Below are 25,298 nucleotides of genomic sequence, written 5' to 3'. Positions count from 1 at the left end.
AATACAAAAATAGCCAGGTATGGTGGTGCATGCCTGTAATCCAGCTACTTGGGTGGATGAAGCACAAGAATCTCACTTGAACCTGGGAGGCGGGGGTTGCAGTAAGCCGAAATCACACCACTGCACTCCAGCATGGGCAACAGAGCAAGACCCTGTCTCAAAAAAATAACAATTAAGTCTTTAATTTTGGACTTCCCAAATTTAAAGAATCTTGTAAACTTTACTTGAAAATATTGTGATAATTATACATAGTAGGTCTATGAGCCTGAAACCTAACCTTGGCAAAAATGCCCTAAAACACCCTCTTGCACGAAACAGTTTACAATTTCCTGCTGTGTTTGCTTAACAGTTATACTTGTTTGAAACTTACAAATTTATAGAACAGTTTTAATTTACATCTCACACGTAACTGTGCTGGAATATTATGCTTGTAATTCTTTTCTATTCCTCCCAATCACCACTAATGCCAAGAAAAACAGAATCTGTAGTTCTTAAATATTATGTCATATCATAACCAAGAGAAATATTACCTGCCCCCCAAAAAAAGAAATAGAAGCCCCTTGACAAAATTTAGGTTGGAGGCAGGATTAACACATTTTCAAAACAAACTGTGTAATAATGGTGTTAATGGTTGCCTAATTATTTTACATATAGCATGACATGACAGTGTATATTCTAAATAACAAATTATATTATTAGAAAACTGCTGTATTCCATGACGCTTTCGCATTAAACTTCCATTTGCCTGGAATTAGTTGGGGTATTAGTTGGAGTATGCTTAACAAAAGCAAAAGCCTACAATAAGACTCAAGGATATCAGATTGGGTCTTAGAAAGTTACCTTTAGTTCTGCCTTAGCCACCAGCTTTCTATAAAACCTTAGTTCAACTTAACCTCTCCAGACAGATCTGCTTCTTCATTGGAAAAATAAGTTAGAATAATGATAATGAAGTAACCTTACGTAAGCTCCCAAATTCCATGATTTGCCAAAGCAGTTCTTCCTATAGAATAATGATAATGAAGTCCCTTTATATAAGCTCCCAAATTCCATGATTTGCCAAAGCAGTTCTTCCTAATTATGGTACAATGAGCAGACTGAAACACAGCTTCAGAACTACATGTTCTGGTTCTGATTAGCTCAGAGTCACAGATTGTAACAAACCAATTAATATCTAAATCGGTCAATTACTGCCCTTCTCTCTCACTGCCAATCAATGTGTGTGTATGTATGAAGAATACTATATGAAGTTAGCTACAGATTTTGTTATATAACTTTTAGCCTCATCTTGTAAGGGTTTAAAAATCCCCAATACTTGACTATAAATGAATGTTCATGTTTTTAGAAAATGCAAACGGCAGCTAAATCTCACAGTAACTTTCAGTTTAGGAGCCATCTGGACTTAGAAAATATGCAACAGGGCTTTGACATAAAAGCCAAAGAAAAAAGCATTGAATTGTATATTGTTATTCCTCAATTTTTCACAATTATCCACCTATTAGTATGTGATTTAACAAATCAATTGATGAGCCTTACCTAACAACTCTTGTTCTCATGGTGGTATTTGTAGGCCACTTATGCTGAACAGATTTCTGTAAACACCCATAAATATATCTCAATGTCCTGCCAAAATAACACAATCATCTCAACACAGAAAGCAAGTGAAAACACTGATCTCCTAGCAGCCAAAAGCTTAATTTACCCAAATATACCACAGTTCAATAAAACTGGCCTTTTACCCAAAAAAGTATTTTGCCACAGGTAATGAGGCATTTAGCAAGGGGTAAGGAAAACTTTATCCACTAAGTTTATCATCAATTTATTCAGTCAACTTCCTGACATTTACTTTCAGATATAGAGAACCAACCAGCTGCAAATTCTGGGGAGCAAGATTTAGACTTAAGTTAACTTCTACCTGAACAAGTGAGTTCACTAATACTGGAGGCCGACAAGCATATTAACAGAGTGATTAGTCTATCAAGTATAGACTAAATGGATAGACAAGATATCTTTTACAATCTCAAATCTGAAACTATAAACCTCTATTCACTCCCCAAGCTACTACAGTACAAACCAGACATATTGGCTTGTACGAAAATAATGGGTGGTTTTATTAAGACAGCTATTTTCTTTAAATACAATTCATCTCATAAAGATTAACCATGACTTTTTCAGAGTATAATAATATTAGGACAACAGAAAAGCTTTCACGTTTTAGAAATAGAAATTTCTGAAGACATAGATACACAATTTCTTGTCAAATGAAAATTTCACCACTTACGGTGGAAGTATTTCTGAAGCCATGAATATTTTCTCCACAAGCTCTGAAAGTATGTTCAATAGGTGTGTTAAATTAGTGTTCACATCTTCATTTTTTTCTAACTTTGATGGACTTAACTAAAAGAAGGAATAAATCAATATAAATGCATGTTGGCAATGACAAATGCAAATGAATAGAGGAAAACAAGTAGTTATAGTTTTCGAGGTTGTCTATTTTTCGGTATCTCTGTGTGTATTGATCTTTTTTCTTTGTATAATGGGAGTTTTTAAGTAGTTTTCTCTATGGAACTCCTCCTGGTAGGTCTGTTACCATTTATTCCCAATTAGCCAACTGAAAAGCAAACAGTGCTTAGTCAATTCTATTTATTTGAGGGGAAAAAAAGCTGATTAAAAGCTTTTCTGAATGAGGCTTATTTAATGGCTAATAAAAATATCAAATGCCTTAGGCAGAATCACAAACCTTTCTCAGAACTTTTCCTGTAACCCTTCTGATCTAGTGTCAGCAGAGTACATTTATCTATGGAAGTCGGAATTCCGTAGCCTATCTCTAAAGTCCAGAGACTCCCTACCTACCTGCTGCACTTCTGTGTCATCCTTATGTTAGGCCAACTATGGCATTACCCCACATTTCCAACATTAAATCACTAATTTCTTCCCTTCAAGTTATTAGTATGAATCGACACCTTCGTGCAGGATTAACATTTGCTAGGTCCCAGTGTCCATTGTCAAAAACAATTCCTTAAACTGATTTTTATATCAGATCTAATATATATTATTTCTTTGTAGTTGCTTTACCATTAAAATGAGAGAATATGTGTGTGAGATTCCACTTACTGTCTTAATAGTGTATTATGAATTTATACTGAAACTTTAATAATCCTAAAAAGATTTTTTTGTTTTAGTTGAGGTTATCTCATAATTCTCCCCTCGCAAAAAAACCTTCAAGAACAAACCAAGATGTAATGAAGTGCTACATAGGTTATATAATGAGTCACTAACAAAACCTTCAATTTATCTTATGCACGCTTTCTGTAAGTAGTATATAGATTATTAGTACAGTAGAGGAAATGACAAAGTATTTTCATGAATTTCTGGTGCAACTTGATGGTTTTTAATCCCAAAATAAAGTACATCTTTTTTAAGAAGTCCATTTTGCAGAACATTTTTATAAATGTATTACAGACAGGTGTAACTGCTATGAGGAATAATTTTAGAAATTTAATATATTTTCCTTAAAATGTAATTGGCTACAAATTATTACCTATTAAAATATGTTCTTTGCAAAAATACTTATTAAAACATTAAATTCTTACCTCACAAGACTGCTTGCTTTCCATTATCTTTAAAATAGAGTCTTTCAAAGCATGATGAACAAACTGTGTAGCAGTGGCTTTCATATACTGCTCCATCAAGGTGCTTGCAAGTGTTGTGGCTCGAAATAGGGTAGTGGCTTCATCTACACAAATATTTACATTAGAAGATTATTTGTAAAGGACTGACCTAATGTGACCAAATTGGAAATTAAGTGAATTCATTTTACCTCAACAGGAATAGCCACTTAAATGTGCTTTTTGCGTGCAGCGTTGAAAGTACTAATTACAATGACATCCTATACTTCTACAGACTTAACTCTGTAAGACTTTCATATGTATTACCTCATTAGATCATGAACAGAAGGGATTAACACTGCCATGTTCATATGGAAAAATGAAGACTCAGAATTGTTATATGACTTAAGATCAATTAGACAGCTAATGATAAAATTAGGACCATAAATCAGCTTTGCTGCCCATTGACCCCATGCTTTGAAATTTTAGGGTTTATTTACAATTAAGGATATAACACAAAATCCCAGTATAGATTAATTTATTAGCTTAAAATATGTCTACTGAGTTTCAGTAAAATTTTAATGAAATACAAATGCTGTCAGAAAAGATAAACTCAAGTGTAAAATAAGGACCACCATTTTATCTATTCCTTGACAAATCTATATTTTGTGATGAGGAGGAAAATAGTTCTAAACTTTACTATTTATTTGGGGAACCTAGAAGCAAGAACTGTTAATGAATCAAAGTGCTTGGTGGTGTGTGTGGGCCAGGGGGAGGGTGGATTATTTTGTAAGCCATTAAAAGCACTGTGTCCAGCAGCTTGGGAACTACCTATCTATAAAAGTTAGAAATAAAATGCAGCTGACACCCAGCTTCTGTGTAATGAAGAAGTAAAAATTAAACAAGACCTGTAACCCCGGCACTTTGGGAGGCTTGAGGCAGGCGGATCACCTGAAGTCAGGAGTTCAAGACCAGCCTGGCCAACATGGTGAAAACCCGTCTCTACTAAAAAAATAAAATAAAAAATTAGCTGGGTGTGGTGGCATATGCCTGTAGTCCCAGCTACTTAGGAGGCTGAGGCAGGAGAATCGCTTGAACCTGAGAGGTAGAGGTTGCAGTGAGCCGAGACTGCGCCACTGCACTGCAGCCTGGGCGACTGAGATGCCATCTCAAAAGAAAATAAAAAACAAGAGAATACAGATAAATATGCCAAACAGTCAAGCCATTGATGTAGACACAGATACCACCTTCTTGTGGCTTCTAGTACTTATCTGCCAAAACCTACATTAGAAATATCAGCTTCCCATAGTAACCAACATAATCAGAACTGACATCCAACTGCAATTTTTAAGGAGGGAAAACAGAATAACTTATTTTGCAATATAATTTAACAATTTAGTATATTCAGAGATAGAGTCCATATATCCTTGATATAAAATCTAAACCCAGTTTCTTGTATCACACTAACATGGCCATACCATACCTTCCATGCTTATTTCTCTGTCATTTAGTGTGCATAACAACAACGATTCAAGCTTTTCGTGAAGAAAAATCCTCAGTAGGATGCTGGCCAGTAGTGTTCGGTCTTGTCCACATACATGTGATAAAGCATAGACTACATGAAGTTCCTTTTGCAGTATAAGCTAAAATGACATTTTAAAAGATTGTTTAAAGTACGTAGCATTATAAGCATGCTCCATGAGACTAACAAGAAATATGTTCTTTCACAAGTTCTTATATTTAAAATGATGTCCCATTGAATAAATTTATTTAAAATAGAATGAATTCGTAGTCTACTTATTTCTACCAAAATTACAGTATAAAACAAGGTTTAAAATCTCTGGCATCATTGTGCTACTAAGCTATGAATTACTATGTTTACCTTAATGGATCTTTTATTAAATGTTAAATGTTTCTGTTAATTCCAACAAAAACAAGACTGATAAATAATTTAATACCTCTTTAAATTCACTGTACTCTTCTTCTGGCATGATTTTTTCCATAGAGTATCGTGCTCGAACACGCAGGGACCCTGGTTCAATACCTTTTAATGGTATATGGGAGCTGAGCAGAAACCATTCATCTGTGGCATGCCCTTTCTGTAATCGGCTCAACTGGCAGCGCATAAATACTTGGGAAGAAAAACAAGCAATTATTGTTTAAAAAGAGAACACGATAATTAGTCATGCAAGTAAATTTTCCTGGTGTTCAGTCTTCCCTATGGTGTTAAATGCTTTTCATTAAAGGAGTTTTCAGTAACATCACAAATTCAATATTTAGTTGTTTATTTACTGAGTGTCTACGGTGCACTAAACTCTGATAGGTAGAGAGTACAGAGATGATTGAGATGTGTTCTTTGAGTTGCATAGAGGTCAGTTTAGTCAAGAAGGCAAGAAATCAATTATGTTTCAGCACTGGTAAGTGCTGTTAACAGTGGTGAATGCTATTCGAGTACAGAGAAATAATATCTAATTCAGCCTGTGGAGGTGAAAACTCCACTTTAAACAGGTAACCCTTGAGCGGACGAGATCTAGAGGTGTAGCTAAGAAGAAAAGTAGTGAAAAAAGAAAAAAGAGCACTTCAAATATAAGGTATGGCCTTCGTTCTGTGTCATTACTATGGGGTTTGGATTTTATCGTAAAAGTAATGGAAAACTAAAATTACTACAAAAAACTACAGAATAAACATTTTATAGAGAAATATTCAGGCTTTGATCTGTTAATACATATCACTTCCTTCCCTAAGCCTGAGTTTTAAGAAGGTATTAACCTAATTCACCCTGATGTGAACTGGTAAATCTCACTGTCAACTGTTTTAGCAGCAGGATGGAAGGAGCTGTGCTGCTGAGGACAGGAACTGGGAGCCTTTGACTACCAGAAGTGAATAAGTGACATATTCAAGTTTAAGGGAAATTTTTAAATAGAATAAATGACATTCAAGTTTAAGGGAAATTTTTAAATAGAATACTTTTTTACTTATATGGTAATGTAATCCCAGCATTTTGGGAGGCCGAGGCCGGCAGATCACCTGAGGTCAGGAGTTTGAAACCAGCCTGGCCAACATGCTGAAACCCCGTCTCTACTAAAAATACAAAACTTAGCCAGGTATGGTGGCGGGCGCCTGTAGTCCCAGATACTCAGGAGGCTGAGGCAGGAGAATTGCTTGAACCTGGGAGGCGGAGGTTGCAGTGAGCCGAGATCACACCACTGCACTGCAGCCTGAGCAACAAGAGCAAGACTCCATCTCAAAAGAAAAAAAAAAGCAGGAAAAACCTAAAAAGTAGAAAGAAGGGATGAGGGCAAGCCCTACAAAAAGACCACTGTAATCATTTCCTTATTCTTCCTATTCATTGGAGAAAGGAGGGTGGCTAAATATTTTAATCTTAATTGCTTAACAGTGTGTACAGTTGAACCATATTGGTCTTTTTCTATCTTAGGTATATTCTTTCTTGATAATCAATACTTTAAGAAGTACAGAAAGAAACTATCTCAAATTATACTACTTGCATTTCTGTTTTTTTAATTTCTATTTTAAGACTTTCATTGTGAATTTTGAAAGTATATAAAACATGCTTTTTCTATTTTAGAAAGTTTCTGTATCAACTTACAGATATCAGGATCTTTGCTTTTCTTTGTTTTATTACTAAGAGTTATTTCAAATCTATTGATGTCAGGAGGAAGATCACTAAAGGAGCAAGGAGAAAAAGAATTAACAAAATGTTTTGGCATCAAACTACCTTATTTCTTTAGTTCTAGTATCAAATAAACCCCCTATTTCTGCTTTAAAAAAAAAAACAGTGTGCTAGACCTAAAACCAGATTCACAACATATTTTATTATTTGGTATACAGAAGACACGCAGATTACACACTTTTCCTACCATCTTTAACCTCCTAAACTAATAATTCATTCAAATAAGTACTGGAAACCCTAGTAAATGTTTTGTATTTGTGGGTTAGTAAATGTTTTTTGACTTGCTAATTCATGTTAATAACTAAGTGGAAAAACCAAGGGCATAGCACTTCACAAATAAAGGTGAACAAACAACAGAAAAAAAAAAAAAAAATATATATATATATATATGCTATTAGAACACCTGGATATGGTACCTTGTTCTGATGGTTTAGATACAGAGACCAAAAAAACAGAAAGAAATGCAATATGGTAAAAGAAAATGATTAATGTAATGATAAAATAAGACTTACTCAAAGACAAACTCTTCTGACCATACTGGGTTTTGCCCTTCCCTTGCATGAGTTTTTGCTACTTGGACACTATTCAGGTAGATGTTACAATATGGATTAGTAAAATGTTTTACTGGGAGTTTATGGGCTTCTTCAATATGTAAAACAAGGCTGCTGACCTAAAAAAAAAAAAATATATATATATATATTACCCCAGATTTCTAGAATTGCACTACATTTCAAAAGCAATTACTCTAAGATACAAAGCCAAAAATAATGACTTATTTTCCCCTTTTTTTTCAGAAAATGTGAGCTTTGGTTATATATTTGTATATGACATACTTAAAACATTCAGACATTTAAAATAATTCTTCCCACCTAAAAGATAAAAACAATGCAATTTTATTTTACAAGTTATTTCTCCCAGTATATTCCTGGAGAAATAATGAAATACACCTTTTCTACCATAAAACAATGATAAAGAGAAAATGAAGTTAAGAAGAAAATTCTTTATTAATATAAGTAAACAACTGTCACTACTCAAATTAAAATCCCGTATGTTATATAATACTTATCTGGAAGATTCTATTTCTATAAAAGAGTTCCACAGCTAAAAATTTTTAAAACACTGACTTTACCTTCTTATTTTACAGGAAAGGATACAAACCTAAAGAAACTAAGTTATTTGTTAGTTTGGATGCCAAAACTTAGACCATCCACCTTCTAGTATCAGGTTCTCTTTCTCTCTTGCCATATACTACTTGTGTGGCCTTGCACAAATCCGTCCCTCTAAGCCTCATCTTTCTAATATGTAAGTATAAAGTCTACACTACAGGTTGTAATAAGTATTACAAACTAGTTATCCCTCAGTATCTGTGGGGGACTGATTCCAAGACCCTCCACCTCTCTGTCCTGGCAGCTAACGAAGCCCAAGATGCTCAAGTCCCGTATAGAAAATGACATAGTATCTGCATAAAATCTATGCATGCCCCCCTGTATGCCGTAAATCATCTCTAGATTACTTGTAATACCTAATACAATGTGAATGCTATGTACATAGTTGTTATACTGTATCTTTTTATTGTATTTTTTCGACCCATGGTTGGTAGAGTCCACTGATGCAGAACCCATGAATAGAAAGGGCTGACAGTATATGTAAATCACTAAATCACACTGCCCACTGATACATAAAAAGTGCTTGAGAGATGTTAGCTATGATTATATTAAACCTGCAAATGTCATTTTAATGGCTCAAGTTTCACACAAAATACAACTTGCTCTTATTAGCAAAAATCCAATCTGATTTTTGATAGCTTACAAAATGTTACAATGTTATGAAGACATGGCGATTGTGTGTATACTTAAATTTCCCTGGGGAAGAGCCAGACTTTGGGTTACAGGGACTATTTAGTCACCTAAATATCAACCATTATCCACTCCCAGTAGAACAGTATGTTAATCACTCAGCTTATCAGATATTCGCACAAAGAGAACAGGAGACACTTTGGTTAGTAAATAAATATTGTACTAAACTTTCTTTAAACCTTGAGAATGTCAAAATTTGCCTAACTTCTTCCAATTATACAGGGATTACTAAAAAGAAAAAAGCCAAGAAATGGAGGTTATAAAGTTACCCTTGTAAAGGCAAAAAAAAGAGAAAGCCTAGCTTAACTCTCCACAAATCTCAAAGTATAGGGCATGTTACAGTTTCAAATAAGATTAAATATTTCCTAAGAGTTAAGCAGTAGGTTTTAAAAGCTGTTCTTCAAAATGAAAATCCCAAAAAAGTTTATTGGGATTAGTGCTATAAATCTGATGATCTTTTCAATGTTCTACTTTTTTGAAAGAGGCCAAAATAAGTTTTTGAAGGAAAATTAAGTGCCCAACAGAACCGTTTCTGCTGTGTTGGTTTAGTGTTGTTATTTAAAGTGGAAGAATAATCTTTCTTATGTTTTTAACAGTTGGCATGGACTAAGAAAGAACATTCTCTTTCATAAAGAAGTAACGTTTTCCTGCTACTGAAGCAAGTGGCAGCATGGCTTAACCCCATATGATGTCCAAAACAGTTCAGATAAAAATAAAATAAAAAGAGCAAAGTGTTAGAGCAAAATGTGACAATTAAAAATCCAAGAAAATTAAGCTTCACCTGACGAAGGCGTTTATTGGATGTCCCTGGACTACTTTTCCGTAAATTGCAAAATGCCTGCAGACCTTTCATCCAATCCTGCAAAGAAAAACAGCACTTCAAAGAAATATACACTAGTTTATTTGGCTTCCAAATCATCAGTTAGGTTTTTTTTTTCAAATTCAACAATTTTTTCCTTCTCTAGACTGCCATTTCTATTCTCAGACTATACTGTACTTCATAACAATAACCAATAATAAAATAACAATAACATAACAATAACAATAATAAAACAACCAAAACAATTGTAATTCTGTATAAATCTTTGTTTGAATTTATGTATGAAACACATCGAGTGGCCATTAATTAGCCAAAAAATCAAATTTACATTAAAGAAACTATTTCTCCCAAACAGATACTACCTTGGGGAAATTAACTGTATAATTAAGCTGTTATACTTGAGGCAAGCTTAGGTGGAATTTAACTTGATACACTTTGTGAGAGGGGGAGAGTGCTGATTGTAAAACCAACTGATAATGTGATGACCGATCCCATGACAAGCATATTAATCTATACTTTAGACCATGATACAGGTAGAAATGTATAAGGGGATTTGGGTTATTTTTAAGCTTCTCAAATATAACATTAGATTTTAAAAATCATTTTAGCCTAATATTCAAATCAAATTGCAGCCATATTTTTAAAATGTTTATCTAGTGCTTTGGGGAAAAGGAGAGAACTAAGGTTTATTAAAAACAAATCTAAATATTCACTTTGGTTTTTACATATTTCTGGAAAGCTGTGTACTATTGCTTTATTCAATTATGTCTTTAGTTTGTTGGCTATTTCAATGAAGCTGAACTTTATTAATATCTAGAGACTGTCTTTATATTACAGCAAATTAAAACCAAATCAGTTACCATAGCTTTTTGAAATAGAAGAGAATAACCAGAGACCCCCACAGCCCAATAAATCAACAAAAACTGGAAATACCATTTATGGAAATACAGAAATATTATGTATAAATACATTAAAAAATGTTCTATGTTAGGCTTGCAAAACATGCTGAAATGTCATTATGGTATGTGACATTTTATTCAGAAAGAGGGACCATGGTAAAATACTTAGAAAATAGGATACTGAAGTTTAAATTTCTAACTCAATTTCTAACATTTAAAAAAATCATGTAAGTTACCAAAATGTTTTGAGCACTACCTTTCTCATCTAAAAATTAGGGATACATAGCCGTAAAATTTTATGTGCATTACATGTGAAATGAGCATTAAATGAGATATTTGATAAAGATGTGAAATATGACGTTCAGTTGTAAGCTCATTCAGGTTTATTCTGTGAGTCTCACGCTAGGATCTAGTTTTAAGAGCATCTTCCTCATATCTAGGGTTGGCAAATTATATTTCCAACAAAGCCACTTTCACTTCTTAACCACCTTTAAGTTCCTTCGTTAGAATATAAGCAGAAATTTAGCTGTATTTGTATAAAATACAACCATATACTCCAGAAATATTAGGGTTCAAAGAAAGCAAAAAAATTTTTTAAGAGACAGTGTCTCAGTTTGTTGCCTAGGCTGGCTTACAGTGTCTCGATCTTACTCACTGTAACTCAAACTCCTGTGCTAATGCAATCTTCCTGCCTCATTCTACCCAGTGGCTGGGACTACAGGCATAAGCCAGAACACCTAGCTAATTTTTTACTTTTGTTATAGAGGTGGGTTCTCCCTTTGTTGCAAAATATTTTTTAAAGAGTGTTTTTTAAAAAATATTATTTCTTCACACAATTACTTAATAGACGCTATAAGAAGGACACTGCACATGGATTAATAGCTAATCTAAAGTAGACATTATATCTCGACTTGGCTTAGAGAATAGATTCCTAAAATATCTTTCCTTGTGTTGACTGACTTTTATTTTCAGACATGGAGTTCAACCAGTGAAGAATAATGCTTGTTAGCAAAACTAACTGGTTAACTGGCTTACCTTTGGATTATACTGAGATGACCTATAACCTTTATGCAGAGAGGATTTTAAATGAGCATTCTCAGTTGGCCTCAACATCATAGAGTATTTAAAGGTCAATTTAAAATGGAGTTTTCATTCCTAATAACCCTTCACTGTGTTTGTTTTTGCATTTCTTTCAGAAAACTTTTTACATATGAAATCTCATTCCTTAAAATAAGAGATGATTAGATTTCAGGCGTTCTGTCACTTTATCTTGAATGCGATCATTTTCTATTCCAGTTAATAAGAAAACATGGGCTAACATAAAAGTATACTGTAGTTTGAGAAACAGTAATCTTACCTCTGCTTGTTCTGGAGTTTCTCCTGCAAAGTAAAAGATGTAATGTTCTTCACTAAAGTGCTGAACTACTATCTGAAAACAGTTTGGCCTTTAAAATAAAAACAAAAATTATTAGGAAGCTTAATAAAAAGTAGCAAAATATTTATACCAGCTTCCAAAACACTCACAATAAATAATTAACATAAAATTATAATTCTTAAAGAAATAATACTCCATTGTACCAGATCATTACTAAAAAAAAGTCAGCTATATATATTTTAGAAAACTTTATGTCAGCACTATTAAAATGTTATCAGTATTTCAAAGTGTAAACTAAAGAAATTTCAATTAATTGTAAAATACATTAGAAATAAAGTTACAAACAGATTGAAGCTGAACTGCTAGAACTGCACACAGCTAATTTGAAAAGCTTTATATGCACTGGAAAAAGACTAGAAATGTTCTTAGACCAAAAATGTTCTAAGTAATTATCTCTAAGGAGATTGTAGGTGATTCTGTATTTTCAAATTTTTCTAAACTGATCATTTTTCTTCACCTGTTAAAATGGAAACATCATCTCTTCATACATATGCTTGTTCTAGAGTTTAAGTGAACAGTTGTGTACAACAAATGTTCTTGTCTTCCTTTAGTATTATTTCAAATCATTTGATATGTAAGTACAATATTAGGTAATAATTTATATCATTTTGGAAATGTGCTATCTTTCCAACTAGACTTGAAAATATTGGTAAAATCTTTATTAAGGGCCTGCATGTTTTTGGAACTCAATAAATGTTACTTCTGTTTCCTGCTTTAAAGATTTTATATCATGCTAATGTTAGGAGGCCATAGCAAAAATACACAGAGGACAAGCTTAACACTTATTAAAGATAAAGACTATATTTTCATGCTTTGAGAATGTCTTAAAAGTAATCATGGAAAATAGGAATTGGAAACTTCTAATCCTAAATGTTGCCTGTATCAGACTAACCACCCTAGTTGGATAAAACTTAAAATAGTAATACAAAACAGAAAAACAACTGTTTGAAAGCACTGGAGAACAACCAAAGCAGCTAAGATTTGAGGAGCCAAGATCATACTATAATTAACCCGACATTCTCCACATCTTTTCCGTTCAAGGCAGTTGCCAGTTCCTAAGCTGGCTGTGTAGCTGAGACGCTAAGCAGAAAATAGTTCCTAAAAGGCTAAAAAATTAACTACAAATCCAGTAGTTTGATAGTGCTAGGAGAAAAAAGAATGAATTTCAGGCTTTCCATTGAGACCCCTGAAGGGCTGTGCCTTCATGATAAGGGCAAACCAGAAATAGAACAGCCTTTACAAGATGTACTAACCCTATACCATCCGTAAGAACAATTCTTTCTGGACGCAATAACATTAGTTTCCATAGTTTTTCATGTACAATGTCTACCACTTAGTCAAACTAAGTAGACACTACAGGCATCAGGATTAAATGGCTAAAAGTTAAGATGAAAAACCAGAAAGACATACATATAATGCAGATACTGAAGACAGACAAGACTTTCAAGTAATTATAATTAAAATGTTTAAGAAAATAGGTAACAAGAATTTTGCCAGAAACTGTATCTTTAAAAAAATGGAAATTCTAAATTGAAAAAAATGTAATAAAATGAAGTCCTGAAAAAGTGGATTTAACTGCAGAATGGAAGATTAGTGAACTGAAAGATCAGAAGAAAATATATAGGTTGGTACAGAGGAAAAAGGATGAAAAACAGAAAACAGCATGGGAAATAGTGCAACTTTTTTTTTAACCAGACTCCAAGAAGAAAAAGGAATGTGGCAGAACAACTGTTTAAATTAGATACTAAACATTTAAACAGATACTAACCAAGAGTTTTCTAAAACTGACAAAGAACATCAGGTCTCAGATTGATGAAGCACTACAAACCTAAGGATAATTTTTTTTTTAATTTATAGTTGGTACATTTTAGTTTTCCCACTAAAAATATAAGGAAAAATCTCAAAGCATCCAGAGAAAGTTGTGTGAGATACATTACCTCTAAGAGAAAAGACAAAGATACATTACCTCTAAAACAGAAACAATTTGAATGACAACGAAAATGTTGGAAGGCAGAAAACCATCTTTAAAATGGCAAAATAACTGCCAATCTTGAATTTAATATCCAGCAAAACATTTTCATAAATAAATGTAAAGCAATAAATACCACAGTGAGATCCAGCTATGAAAAGATGGTGTAAAAATTAATTACCACATGGATAGTCACTAGAATAACTTTGTGTCACTAAGACATCTTTCTAAGTAATGCAGTATTAAAAGTTAGAAGTTTAATACAAGGAAATGGAGTGCTTAGAGATCTCTTAATATTGAAAATAATCTGGAAAAATTGCACAGCTGTGCAACTAAAGCCATGCAAGAAAACAGCATTGCCATCCAACATTCGTTCAGCATCAGGCTGAGCATGCGCACTAATCACCTACTGCACAAGGTGGCTGTTAACTTTCACATTAGTCTTCTTCTAAATGCTAAAGGTCAGCATATCAGGTTCTATGTGTACACAAAGCAGGAAATGTTCAATGCCTGGCATTAATTTGATAATAAAGAAAAAGATATTAACATTCATTTATAATTTCCCCTTTTGTCCTCTGGTATTTGCATCCTATGGTAATACATAATTTATCAACCTATTTTTCTACTTGTCCTATTATATGGTACAGATGTCTTCTCATTTCCTTGAAATGTACTTTGTTAATGCTATTTGCCTTGGCATTCAGTCTTTCTCACTAAGTGCTTCTCTATTTCACAGGAAGGCACTTTAAAAAAAATAGTTAATAATAAAGTAGCATACTTTGAAAAAAAAATTTTTGTTGTTGTTTTTGGTTTAGTTTTGTTTGAGACCGGGCCTCACTCTGCCATGGGTGTAGTGGTACAGTCAGCTCACTGCAACATCCTGGCAGTTGTGAGCCTGGGCTCAGACAATCCTCATACCTCACTCTCCTGAGTAGGTAGGACCACAGGTGTGCATCACCACACCTGGCTAATTTTTTAATTTTTTAAAGAGACGGGGTTTGCCATGTAGGCCCAGGCTGGTCTCCAACCCCTGAGCTTAAGCGATCAGCCCACCTTGGGCTCCCGAAGTGCTGGGATTACAGGCGTGAGCCACTGCGCCCAGTCTTAAAAGAAAAATCTGTTTTCTAAATGAGAGACTTGAGTTTAGTTCTCATGAACATAACTTTTTCATACTAGGTTTCAGACCTGGTATCATTAAATATAATTCATTACAAAGACTTTTTCTAATGTCTTCAAATTCTTTAAGTCACCTTCAACAAGAAACTGTACAAGAAGCAAGCTACAACCTTACAGCAAGTGGTAAATGTATATTTATTGCTTTCCCCCTACCAGACAGAAACTCCTTTCTTGTTACTAACCAGAATAGGAATCATTCACAATCTTCAACTTGTGCTTCAAGGATCTGATCCTTCTTTTTACTCTGGCAATTCTTTCTCTTTTACCATCAAGTGTAATGTGGACCTTTCTTTTGATTGTGCCAACAGACTTCCAATCTAACTGCATCTGTTCATATAAACTATATCAAAATAATGCTAAAGCTTTTCTTCAATCTTACAGATATTGCAATATTCATCTTAATACTTCCTTAAGATTCATCTAATTGCAGTTGTAAGTATCATTAGTGAATCATTTTTAACCTCATTTTTCCAAGGTTGAATTTCTGCCTTAAATCCATAAACTGTCAAGACACATATCTTTTTGTATTGTACATATAATTTGACGAAGTTTACTGATTCTTCAGTAAATCTGCAAAATGAGAATCATTCACCAAAAGTTTTTCTCCTATAATCATAAACTTTTATCAAAACTTTTCTTTTGGACAGGTAACATACTTCAGCATCCAACAGTAGGTATTTTGATTCCATTTCTCACCTAAAACTGAAAACACATGCAACTGAAGCAGCTTAGATTTTATTACAGCCTCCATTTCATTATATTATTTAATATGGAATTCAGGTCTACAGACAAACATATATATAATCTTGACATAAAATCTTTAAATGTTCCTATCGTGAAGCCTCATCATCAGTCATAAACTTAACTAGCATTTCCATAGGACCTTCTTTGTTTCAAAGTATTAAAAAAAAATTTAGCAATTAAATGTATTTCTTTCAGGTCCTAGTAAGTGAGTTACATTTTTTTAAAATTATTTTTTATCTTATGAGTCTAATGACTTTCCAGTGTTAGTCACTAAATTGCCCTTATGGTGGGAAAAATTAACATCTGTACATTAAGGCTAATTATAAAGTAGTAAAAATGAAAAATATATCAAATTCATTATGTTCTTTTCAAGAACCTCCTTATATATTTTACGATAATTAAAACAATTTTAACTTCTCTGTTAATCGAAAAAAGGTAAGAAACAAAATGAGACATTTCTGCTTGAACATAAAAGGTAGCTTCATAATGAAGCTGTGAATAAAGTAATATTCAGAGTACCTGGATGATTGAACAAGAAAGTAGGAAGTACTGAGGTATAGCCACTATAAAGAGCTCTCTGTCTCCAAGTGTTATGCATCAATTCTTTTGCCCCAATAAAATAATGAATTAGAACAGTTTATACAGGGATCATATGATTTCGAGTGTTATAATTTTTGAAATATAAAACATTTGTTAAATATCTCTACTACAATAGGATTTTACAACCACTAGTATCTCAGGGGACACCTATACTGATTAATGGAACACTGGTTAGGAAGCTCTGCTCAACTATCCAACTGAATTCATACCCATCCTCCAAGAATCAAGAGCCACCTATTTCATATTACTGATCTCAATAAAATTGTTCCCAAAATATTCTACTTTTACTGTTTTTAACTGTTTTCACGATAATAAACTACATTTAGTAGTGAATAGTGTTGCCTCTCCAACATCCATTTCACCCATACATATGGTAAGTAGAGCAGCCTCACTATTTGGGTGAGATCATTTCCAGCAACAGATCTAGGCACAAAAGGGTCTCCTCATTCTATCAGGATAATCCCATTCCTTTTGCTACCTCAGTAACCCAGAACTAAAAATTGGTTGAGAGGTGGCTCAACAGAATGTTTTCAAGATTTTTTAATAATTATGGGAGTGAATGCTTACAGCCCTTTCTCTGGTGCTGTTTGCTACCTTGCTACCATGTAGGGAACTGGTTTGAGGAAGGATTCAACCCACAAGAAGGGTGCAGAGTAGAACTAAAAAGAAAAGACAGAGGCCTGAATCAACCACATTTGAAGGTTAAGATTCTCAGGTTGTTAAAGAGGGGCAGAAAAATCTCAAGAAATCCTGTCCTCACGCAATCTTTGTGTTTTTTGGAACAACTCTTTATGAGGTATCAGTGAGTATTCAGGGGAAAAAAAAGGGTATCTTCGTAAAATGAATTTATGAAGTAATTCATACTATTTTACAGATTCACAATATAAACACTAGCTAAAGCTACAAAAAGCCTTGCTATAAGTAAAACTATTTGTTCAATCAGCATTTCCCAAACCTATTTGATCATTTTAAAAAACTGTCAAAATCACAAGTAACACTAATGTGATCTCCTAAACACACTGAAAAAAGAAATGACAAGGCTATATATTTTACAGGTATTTCTCTTAAAGAAGAGAAATATTTCAACAGGATAAAACGTAGATTTGCCTCACAGAAATGCCATCCTGCGGCAGAAAAACAAGCTGTTGAAACATTTAACTGTCTTTTCTCTTACTAATCATAACAATAGGTAATAAAAATGGTAAGTACATCTAAAAAGACTGGGATGGATTACTGATAATACTAATGGTGAAAGGTAAAGGCCATTGTTCTTGAGAAAAAAATCTAGATGTAATCAAGAGCTGGATTTGTCTTCTGATGTTTAGGATTCAGCTTATACATTTATATTCATTGTTTCAAAACCAAGAAGTCAACATAAGAATTTTTTTTAATTTCAAATACATTTTTCCTATCAAGACAATTTTAAGATTATTTTTTAACATTAACTTTCTTAAGAACTTGCTTATAGAGTTAATAGCAGAATTGAGTGCACCTAGTACTCTTGGGTACACTGAGTTAAACCATGTGAAAAAATCAGAGGAAAGGTGACAAAGACTCAAAGTAAGTCACTCAAAAGATTGCTTGTTGGGGCAGGGACAAAACATGCTTTACTACAGGAAATGTCATGCCAAAGATTTCTGTGCAACACAATGAAGTAGACTTTATGTATATATTAGTCTACAATTAAGCAAGGAAGGCAAAAATTACCTAGAAAGTGCATCTGCTACTTTTAGAAGATGATTTTAGGGCTCTCAAAATTGGTTTGCTTTGTTTGTACTATTTTATTATTAAGACAATTCCGAAAGAAAAATAGGAAACCAGTCTCTTACCTGCCAAAGAGACTATCATGAACGACATAGACAGAACATACACTGAGATCTATTAATCCTTTTGGTTTGGTAGCTCGTTTTTCGCTTTCAAAATAAATAAGTTGGGCATCACTACCCTCTAAGATAAAATATAAATTTTTCCAACGTTTTCCTTTGCCTGTTTAAAAAAAAAAATTGTTTTCTCTTAGCCAAACAATTGTGAAATCCTACATATTATTAAAATTAGTGTTTCTAAAAATATGAATCAATCAATTTTTATTCCAAAGCTTATGTAATATGCCAATTCTTACATAATGAGAAAATGCCTATAACAAATCTGTACAAAAATGCCTTTTGTTATATTACTTGTTTTAATCACAGAGTAAATGCTGAGAATACCTTAACTATATCTTCAGAGATTTCATCATGATGAAATTGTCAGAATTCTTGTTTTGGAATAATTCTTTAACAGTCTTAAGGAAAAAATTCTTCCACTTTATAAAGCACACCCCCACCCACAATTCCCCAAAATGTCGTTATGTCAAATTGAGGTAAATCTGTAAAATATCAATATTATGAATGTGCCATGTGCCATAAGGAGTTCCTCAAAAAAAAAAAAGAAAGAAAGAAAGAAAAAAAGAAACCATGGGTAGAAGAAACATTCTGGTTGAAAATGTAGACTTTTAATATACCTACACTCTAAATTTTGAAGAATGCTTATATATGGGCTCTAAACAAGTGTCAATTACTAATAACTCATGTCAAAACTTATTAAATATATATCACAATAAGTTCGGAGCTCCATATTTACAACGTCTCTATCAAATGGGTTAATGATAAAAGTCTGAACTTACCCTTTTTCAGAAGATAACCTTTCTTAACAATGTTTTTATAAAAGGCATCCTTTGTTTTACGACGGATGGTATTATAGATTTCCTTGCCATCCACTGTGTCATTGAGTACTTGTTCTTGATCCTGAATTTTAAAAAACATTAAAATTATTTCATACATTCTTGATGGAAATGAAGTAAAAATCTATAAAAGTACCAATTAAAAGCCAAAGCGCTTAAAATACTAAAATCTAGATACACATAACACATAAATGATCTTTTGCTTTCCAAAGAAATTCTCAGAAATGCTTCCTTATAATTTCGAAGAACACCGACAACAAAGTTCACAGAAAGGTTTCCTTGCCAATCCCAAGAACAACTAATAAGTTGTCTGTTTCCATGGATACCTAATAAGCTATTTTCGAATACAGTCAGTTATATTTTACAGCAAATCATGTTTTAAAAACATAAACTTGTCCCAGCATAACTGGTAGATTAGGAACCAATGTAAGCATAAAGCAAATTCATGTTTGCCTATGCACAATTGTGTCTGTGAGAAATGCTAGGTGAATACAGACAACCGTACCAGGTGAACTAAGACATGAGAATGAACAAAACATACACACTTCAAATACCTAACAGTTCCCTCAATCCACTAAGTGTGTCACATGCCACACCCATCCATCCACAGCTGGTGTTATAACCATGATTTCAGATAATCCTCCTCTGCCACTCTGCAACATTCCCATGCTTCAACTCTACCAATGGCCATTTCCTCATGTAATGTACCTCTTTTTTCAAGGTAAATTGCCATATTTATTGTAGGATGTACATATTTCTTAAAAAAAAATGTATAAAACTAAGCAACATATTTATATTAGGTTCTTTCTTAATGTATCCCTGATGAAATTTCTAAGTGTTAACACCCCTAACCTCACTTTTCTCAAAAGCCCTGTGGTTTTGATTGCCTAATTTTGCATAATGCTATGATTTTTAGGAATGCATATGTTACATTATAGCAGAACTTACATTAATTGCTAAATCTCCTGAGGAAAAGAATTATATCAGGATGCCTTTATCATGATCTTTCCAGAATAAATGAATCTTCAATTTTACTATTAAGGTCAATTGGACTCAGTTTTAGTTTTTTGGTTTCCTTTTTGAGTAGTTCTTACTATTTTGCAAGGATTCATATTTTATGACTTTTAGTCCATCTTACAAACTTCATGGATCCATTCAATCCTCTTATAAATCTAAGTTATGCTGTGGGATTTTCATAATCCTCTATCTTGAAACATTATGCTGTTTCATCATCCTAGGAACTATTTCATCATTACTCAGAATTATTCCCAAGTTAATGCTACAAAATTACTAAAATAATAAGAAAATAGAAGAATGAATTGCTTACAGCAGGGCTGACAAACTGTGGCACGCATGCTAAATCCAGTCCACCACCTGTTTTTTATACATAAAGTTTTACTGGAACACAGCCATGCTCATTCCCTAACATGCTGTCTGTGGTTGCTTCCAGATAAAAAGACAGACTTTAGTGGACACACTAAATGAACTGCAAAACCCTTTACAGAAAACTTTTGCCAACCGCTGGCCTAGAGGATGATATAACTGAAATAAATAATCTCTACTGCATCACTCTGGGTGTGTGTGTATGTGTGTGTGTAACTGTGTTGCAAAGTATTGCGGCATCTTTTGTAAAAACATAAAAGGCCATCTTTGCTGTCTTTTTAGCTTTGATTGAACATACTTAAAATATTCAGAACTCTTTATTTTCTGCTCATAAATGATAAAGAGAAAAAAACTGATCCAGGAAGATGTTTGACAATTAGAAAAATCAGAAAACGAATGCAAAGAAACAGCAGCACTCTAGACTCTTATCATGATGGCAGAATTGATTTTGATAAACCTCAGACTGTGATTTTTCAGATGATGATATACTTGAATTTTCTCAAACTCAATCACTGAGTGAACCATATTACTTCTATTATCCTGTTTTGCTAAAAAGAAATGAGACTAAATTTTTGTATGTACATCAAAATTTACTTAATATGATTTGTGAATGGGCAAATATTAAAGGGCCTTTGTATAAAAAATTACTGAAAGTAAACATATAGAAATTGTAAAATTCACTGGATTGATCACTCTTATAAACATCAATGTTAACTGGTGTTTTAAAATCTAAACAAAAATATTTTACAATTATGGAGCAATGGACACTGTACTCTCCAACAAAATTATGAGCCATCAGAGTTTTCAAAAGTACTGCATTTTGCTCACGCCTTTAATCCCAGTACTTTAGGAGGCCGAGGCGGGCACATCATCTGAAGTCAGGAGTTCGCCCAGCCTGGCCGACATGGTGAAACCCTGTCTCTACTAAAAATATGAAATTAGCTGGGCGTGGTGGCGCGTGCCTGTAATTCCAGCTACATGGGAGGCTGAGGGAGGAGAATCGCTTGAACCCAGGAGGCGGAGGTTGCAGTGAGCTGAGATCATGCCATTCCACTCCAAGCCTGAGCAAAAAAGAGCGAAATTCCATCTCAAAAAAAAAAAAAAAAACTGCATTTTGATAATACAAAAACAAGAAAGAATAAGCTAGATTCCAGTAGTGATGTACTTAAAATCTGGAATTGATATGATAGATACAATGCAAGAAGAACCAAAGTAATTACAAATAGAACTTATTAGACAAGTATCTGATTTCAAATCTGGAATCAGAGTTTACAAGATGGCTGTGTTCCAGGTCTGTGCACGAAGGGTGAAGAACTGTTAGTTGCATTGAAAAGACTGTCCATTTCAGGTACGTAAACCTTTCTAGACATGAAAACATGGAACAAAAATTTGGGTACGCTACATTTAAATTCTTACTACATTTTCCAATGAAGTTGTTTTTGGATTATACCCTTAATCTTGGTGATGCGAATTATTTGTAAAATGACTTAGGAATATAAAAAAATTAAAAGGGTACACTGGACCATGATGTTACAAATAGTGATGACTTTACTTTCCTGGTAATACAGATTTGTATTTATCAAATCTTTAGTTCAATGGTGATGGCACTTAGTATTAGCTGCAGAATGGAACATTCTTGGAGTCTGTCATTTAAGACATGTAACCACACTAATATTTGGATTTAAATACTTGATTCCAAGATTTTATATAGATCTTGGAATCTATATAGATCTTTTAAAAATCATATTAAAGTGGGGACTAGCCCACAAATCCTAAAAGATTCCAATACACTAGAAGATGCTATGGGCAAAAACACAACATCACTTTTCAAGTCCTAGTCAATGAGAGGAGAAAGGCTTCTCTACGTGTTCCTTTTCTCAGCCTGAGAGATAGTTCTTAGATTTTTTACATTCCTCCCAAGGGAAATTCAGTAATCTGATTGGTTAGAGTCTAACAGCCATTGAACCAAGCTCTTCCCTAGAAGTTACATGTGTAAGCTCCTGAAGACAGACTTAACTTGCAGATCCTAGCTTTGTCACTTAATGTAGGAAAACGCCATTTAATATATTAATTCAATAAATGTTGAGTCTCAGGCACTGTTGTAGTTCTTGAGATACATCAGTGAACAAATCAAAGACCCCTATCCTCATGGAACTTGTATTCTAACCAGGGAAAGATTAAAAATAAACATAAATAAATAAATTGTACTACATGTTAGAAGGTAAGTGCTCCGCAGGGTTGAGCAAGTTGCAGTGTTAATTAAGGTGTCTAGGTAAAGTGTCATTTGCTAATTTGCTAAATTTTGAGCAAAAACTTGAAAGATGTAAGAGTGAGGCTAGTGGATATCCAAGAGAAAACAATTTTGGACACAGTGAACAGCTACAGCAAAGATCCTAAGGAAGGAAAGAGTCTGGCTTATTTACAAATAATAATACAGAAGCAAGTATGAGTGAAAAAGAGTGGCAGGAGGATAGTAGGAAGAGACGAGTTCAGAAAATTAATGGACTGCCACTGTTGGGTCTTGTATGCCATTCTAAGGACTTTGGCTTTTATTCTGAAAGAAATGGAGAACATTTTCAAGTATTAAAACAGAGGAGTAACACGATCTGACATTTTAAATGGATCCCAGTGACTGCTGCGCAGCATGCAGCATAAGGGGACAAAGCTAGAAACTAGGAGATGAAGGCAGATTCTGGTGGTGGTCATATTCTAGACATACTTTGAAGACAGAGTCAGTATGATCTTCCTGACAGGTTAGATATAAAGTACAGGAAGAAAAAAAGAGAAGAATTGAGGATGATTTAAGTTATTAACCTCTCAGCTCTCAGTTGCCTTATCTTTGAAATAGGCATCATTGTAGTGTCACCTTGGTAAAGTTGTTGAGAAAATTAAATGAATGAATATGTATAAAAAACAGTGCTTAAAATATAGTGCTCAAAAATGTAAGGCATTTTTATTATGGGGTATATTGTCTCAAAAGGACCCTTTTTGTCTAATGCTTGCCTCAAAAAGTGTTAACAGTTCCAGGAAGTAAGCAAAGCTAGCTAGGACTCTGCTGTTTCTTAGCCTTTGCCAGCATCTTAGCCTGAGTGTGGGTACACAGGGTCACCTCATTGGAAGATGAGGTGATTTGCTAACTAATCAATTTGGCGATTAGTAAAAAGATAGTATTGCTTTTGTACTAATAGTTAAAACCCTGCTTGAAGAATGAGTGAGTTTTATTATTCCCCAAACTTCTACTAAAACCAACTTTTCATCACCCCATGCTCCAAAATAATAGACTACAAATAGCACTTAATAGTTTCTGTGTAGCAATCAATCAAATTGCTTTATAATCAGCATCAATTATTTCTGAAGTATTCAAAGCATTATAGGCACTTCTGCAAAACCAATTGGAGGTTTGTTCAGTTATAAAACTAACACAAGAGCAAGGCACATTACATATCTCAAGTAATTCTTAAAGCAGTCTTATAACACATACTGCAAGTTTATTAGATGCCACATACTATTTGTTTTTCTTTTTTTTTGAGATGGAATCTCGTTCTGTCTCCCAGTCTGGAGTGCAGTGGTGCAATCTCGGCTCACTGCAACCTCCACCTCCCAGGTTCAAGCGATTCTCCTGCCTCAGCCTCCAGAGTAGCTGGGACTACAGGGGCATGTCACCACACCCAGCTAATTTTTTGTATTTTTAGTAGAGACAGGGTTTCACCGTGTTAGCCAGGATGGTCTTGATCAAAACTTAAATTAGAAAATTCTAAGTACAAATTCAGTATGGGGAAATGTATGATTTAATTTGGGGTCAAATAAAATTAAAATCACTAACTCAAAGAGCCAAGGGGAATTAGAATTGAGGATACAGCAATGGAACTATATGGCAGGATCCGTCATCTGGAGGCAAAGGCACCTCTGATCCTGAAAAAAGATCCTAGCCATGGTCTAAAAAGCACTCACCCATGTTATTTAAAAAATACACATATATAAAACATATATATATTTATATATGTGTGTGTATGTTATATGTTCTGGCTAACTTCTCTTCCAATTACTCTGCGGTAATAAAAAAAAAATTACTCAAAAAGTGAAACAAGATGGATGTTAAAATAGTATTTAGATAGGCAGAGAGGAAGACTGACATGGTGATAGGAAGGAGCACATTAAAGTGTAAGACCTTAGTAACAATACAGGCAAGGGTAAAGTAGGTATTTCTTGCTGGAAAGCAGAGAATCATTCATTCAATCAATATTTATTGAATATCTAATGTCAGGTACTGTTCTAAGCACTGGGAAAAAACAATGCAAACAAAAATCTCTGTTCTCATAGACCTTAAATTCTACTAGGAAAGCATGCGGGAATGAAGGAAAATATAGGCATACCTTGGAGGTATTTCAGATTTGGCTCCAG

At 33.8% G+C, this 25,298-nt stretch overlaps 2 protein-coding genes across 6 annotated transcripts in view; one reads left to right on the top strand and one right to left on the bottom strand.

The window, feature by feature from the left end:
- Nucleotides 1-25,298, bottom strand: part of RASA1 (RAS p21 protein activator 1) — a 124,034-nt gene that overhangs the window by 9,788 nt on the left and 88,948 nt on the right. For both annotated transcript variants that reach the window (NM_002890.3, NM_022650.3), the window contains exons 10-20: nucleotides 19,458-19,578; nucleotides 18,625-18,781; nucleotides 12,229-12,316; nucleotides 9,934-10,011; nucleotides 7,809-7,966; nucleotides 7,213-7,289; nucleotides 5,564-5,736; nucleotides 5,089-5,248; nucleotides 3,591-3,733; nucleotides 2,279-2,394; nucleotides 1,534-1,620 (exon numbers count right to left, since the gene is read on the bottom strand). In NM_002890.3, coding sequence (NP_002881.1) covers nucleotides 1,534-1,620; nucleotides 2,279-2,394; nucleotides 3,591-3,733; nucleotides 5,089-5,248; nucleotides 5,564-5,736; nucleotides 7,213-7,289; nucleotides 7,809-7,966; nucleotides 9,934-10,011; nucleotides 12,229-12,316; nucleotides 18,625-18,781; nucleotides 19,458-19,578 — 1,358 coding nt within the window. The remainder of the gene's footprint in view (nucleotides 1-1,533; nucleotides 1,621-2,278; nucleotides 2,395-3,590; nucleotides 3,734-5,088; nucleotides 5,249-5,563; nucleotides 5,737-7,212; nucleotides 7,290-7,808; nucleotides 7,967-9,933; nucleotides 10,012-12,228; nucleotides 12,317-18,624; nucleotides 18,782-19,457; nucleotides 19,579-25,298) is intronic.
- Nucleotides 1-25,298, top strand: part of CCNH (cyclin H) — a 101,460-nt gene that overhangs the window by 30,802 nt on the left and 45,360 nt on the right. The window lies entirely within an intron of this gene.

Source organism: Homo sapiens, chromosome 5 (genome assembly GCF_000001405.40).
Source record: "Homo sapiens chromosome 5, GRCh38.p14 Primary Assembly".
In the NCBI taxonomy this organism is placed as follows: Eukaryota; Metazoa; Chordata; class Mammalia; order Primates; family Hominidae; genus Homo; species Homo sapiens.
Note: the sequence above shows the minus strand (reverse complement) of the source record. Positions and strands in the feature narration are given on the sequence as shown.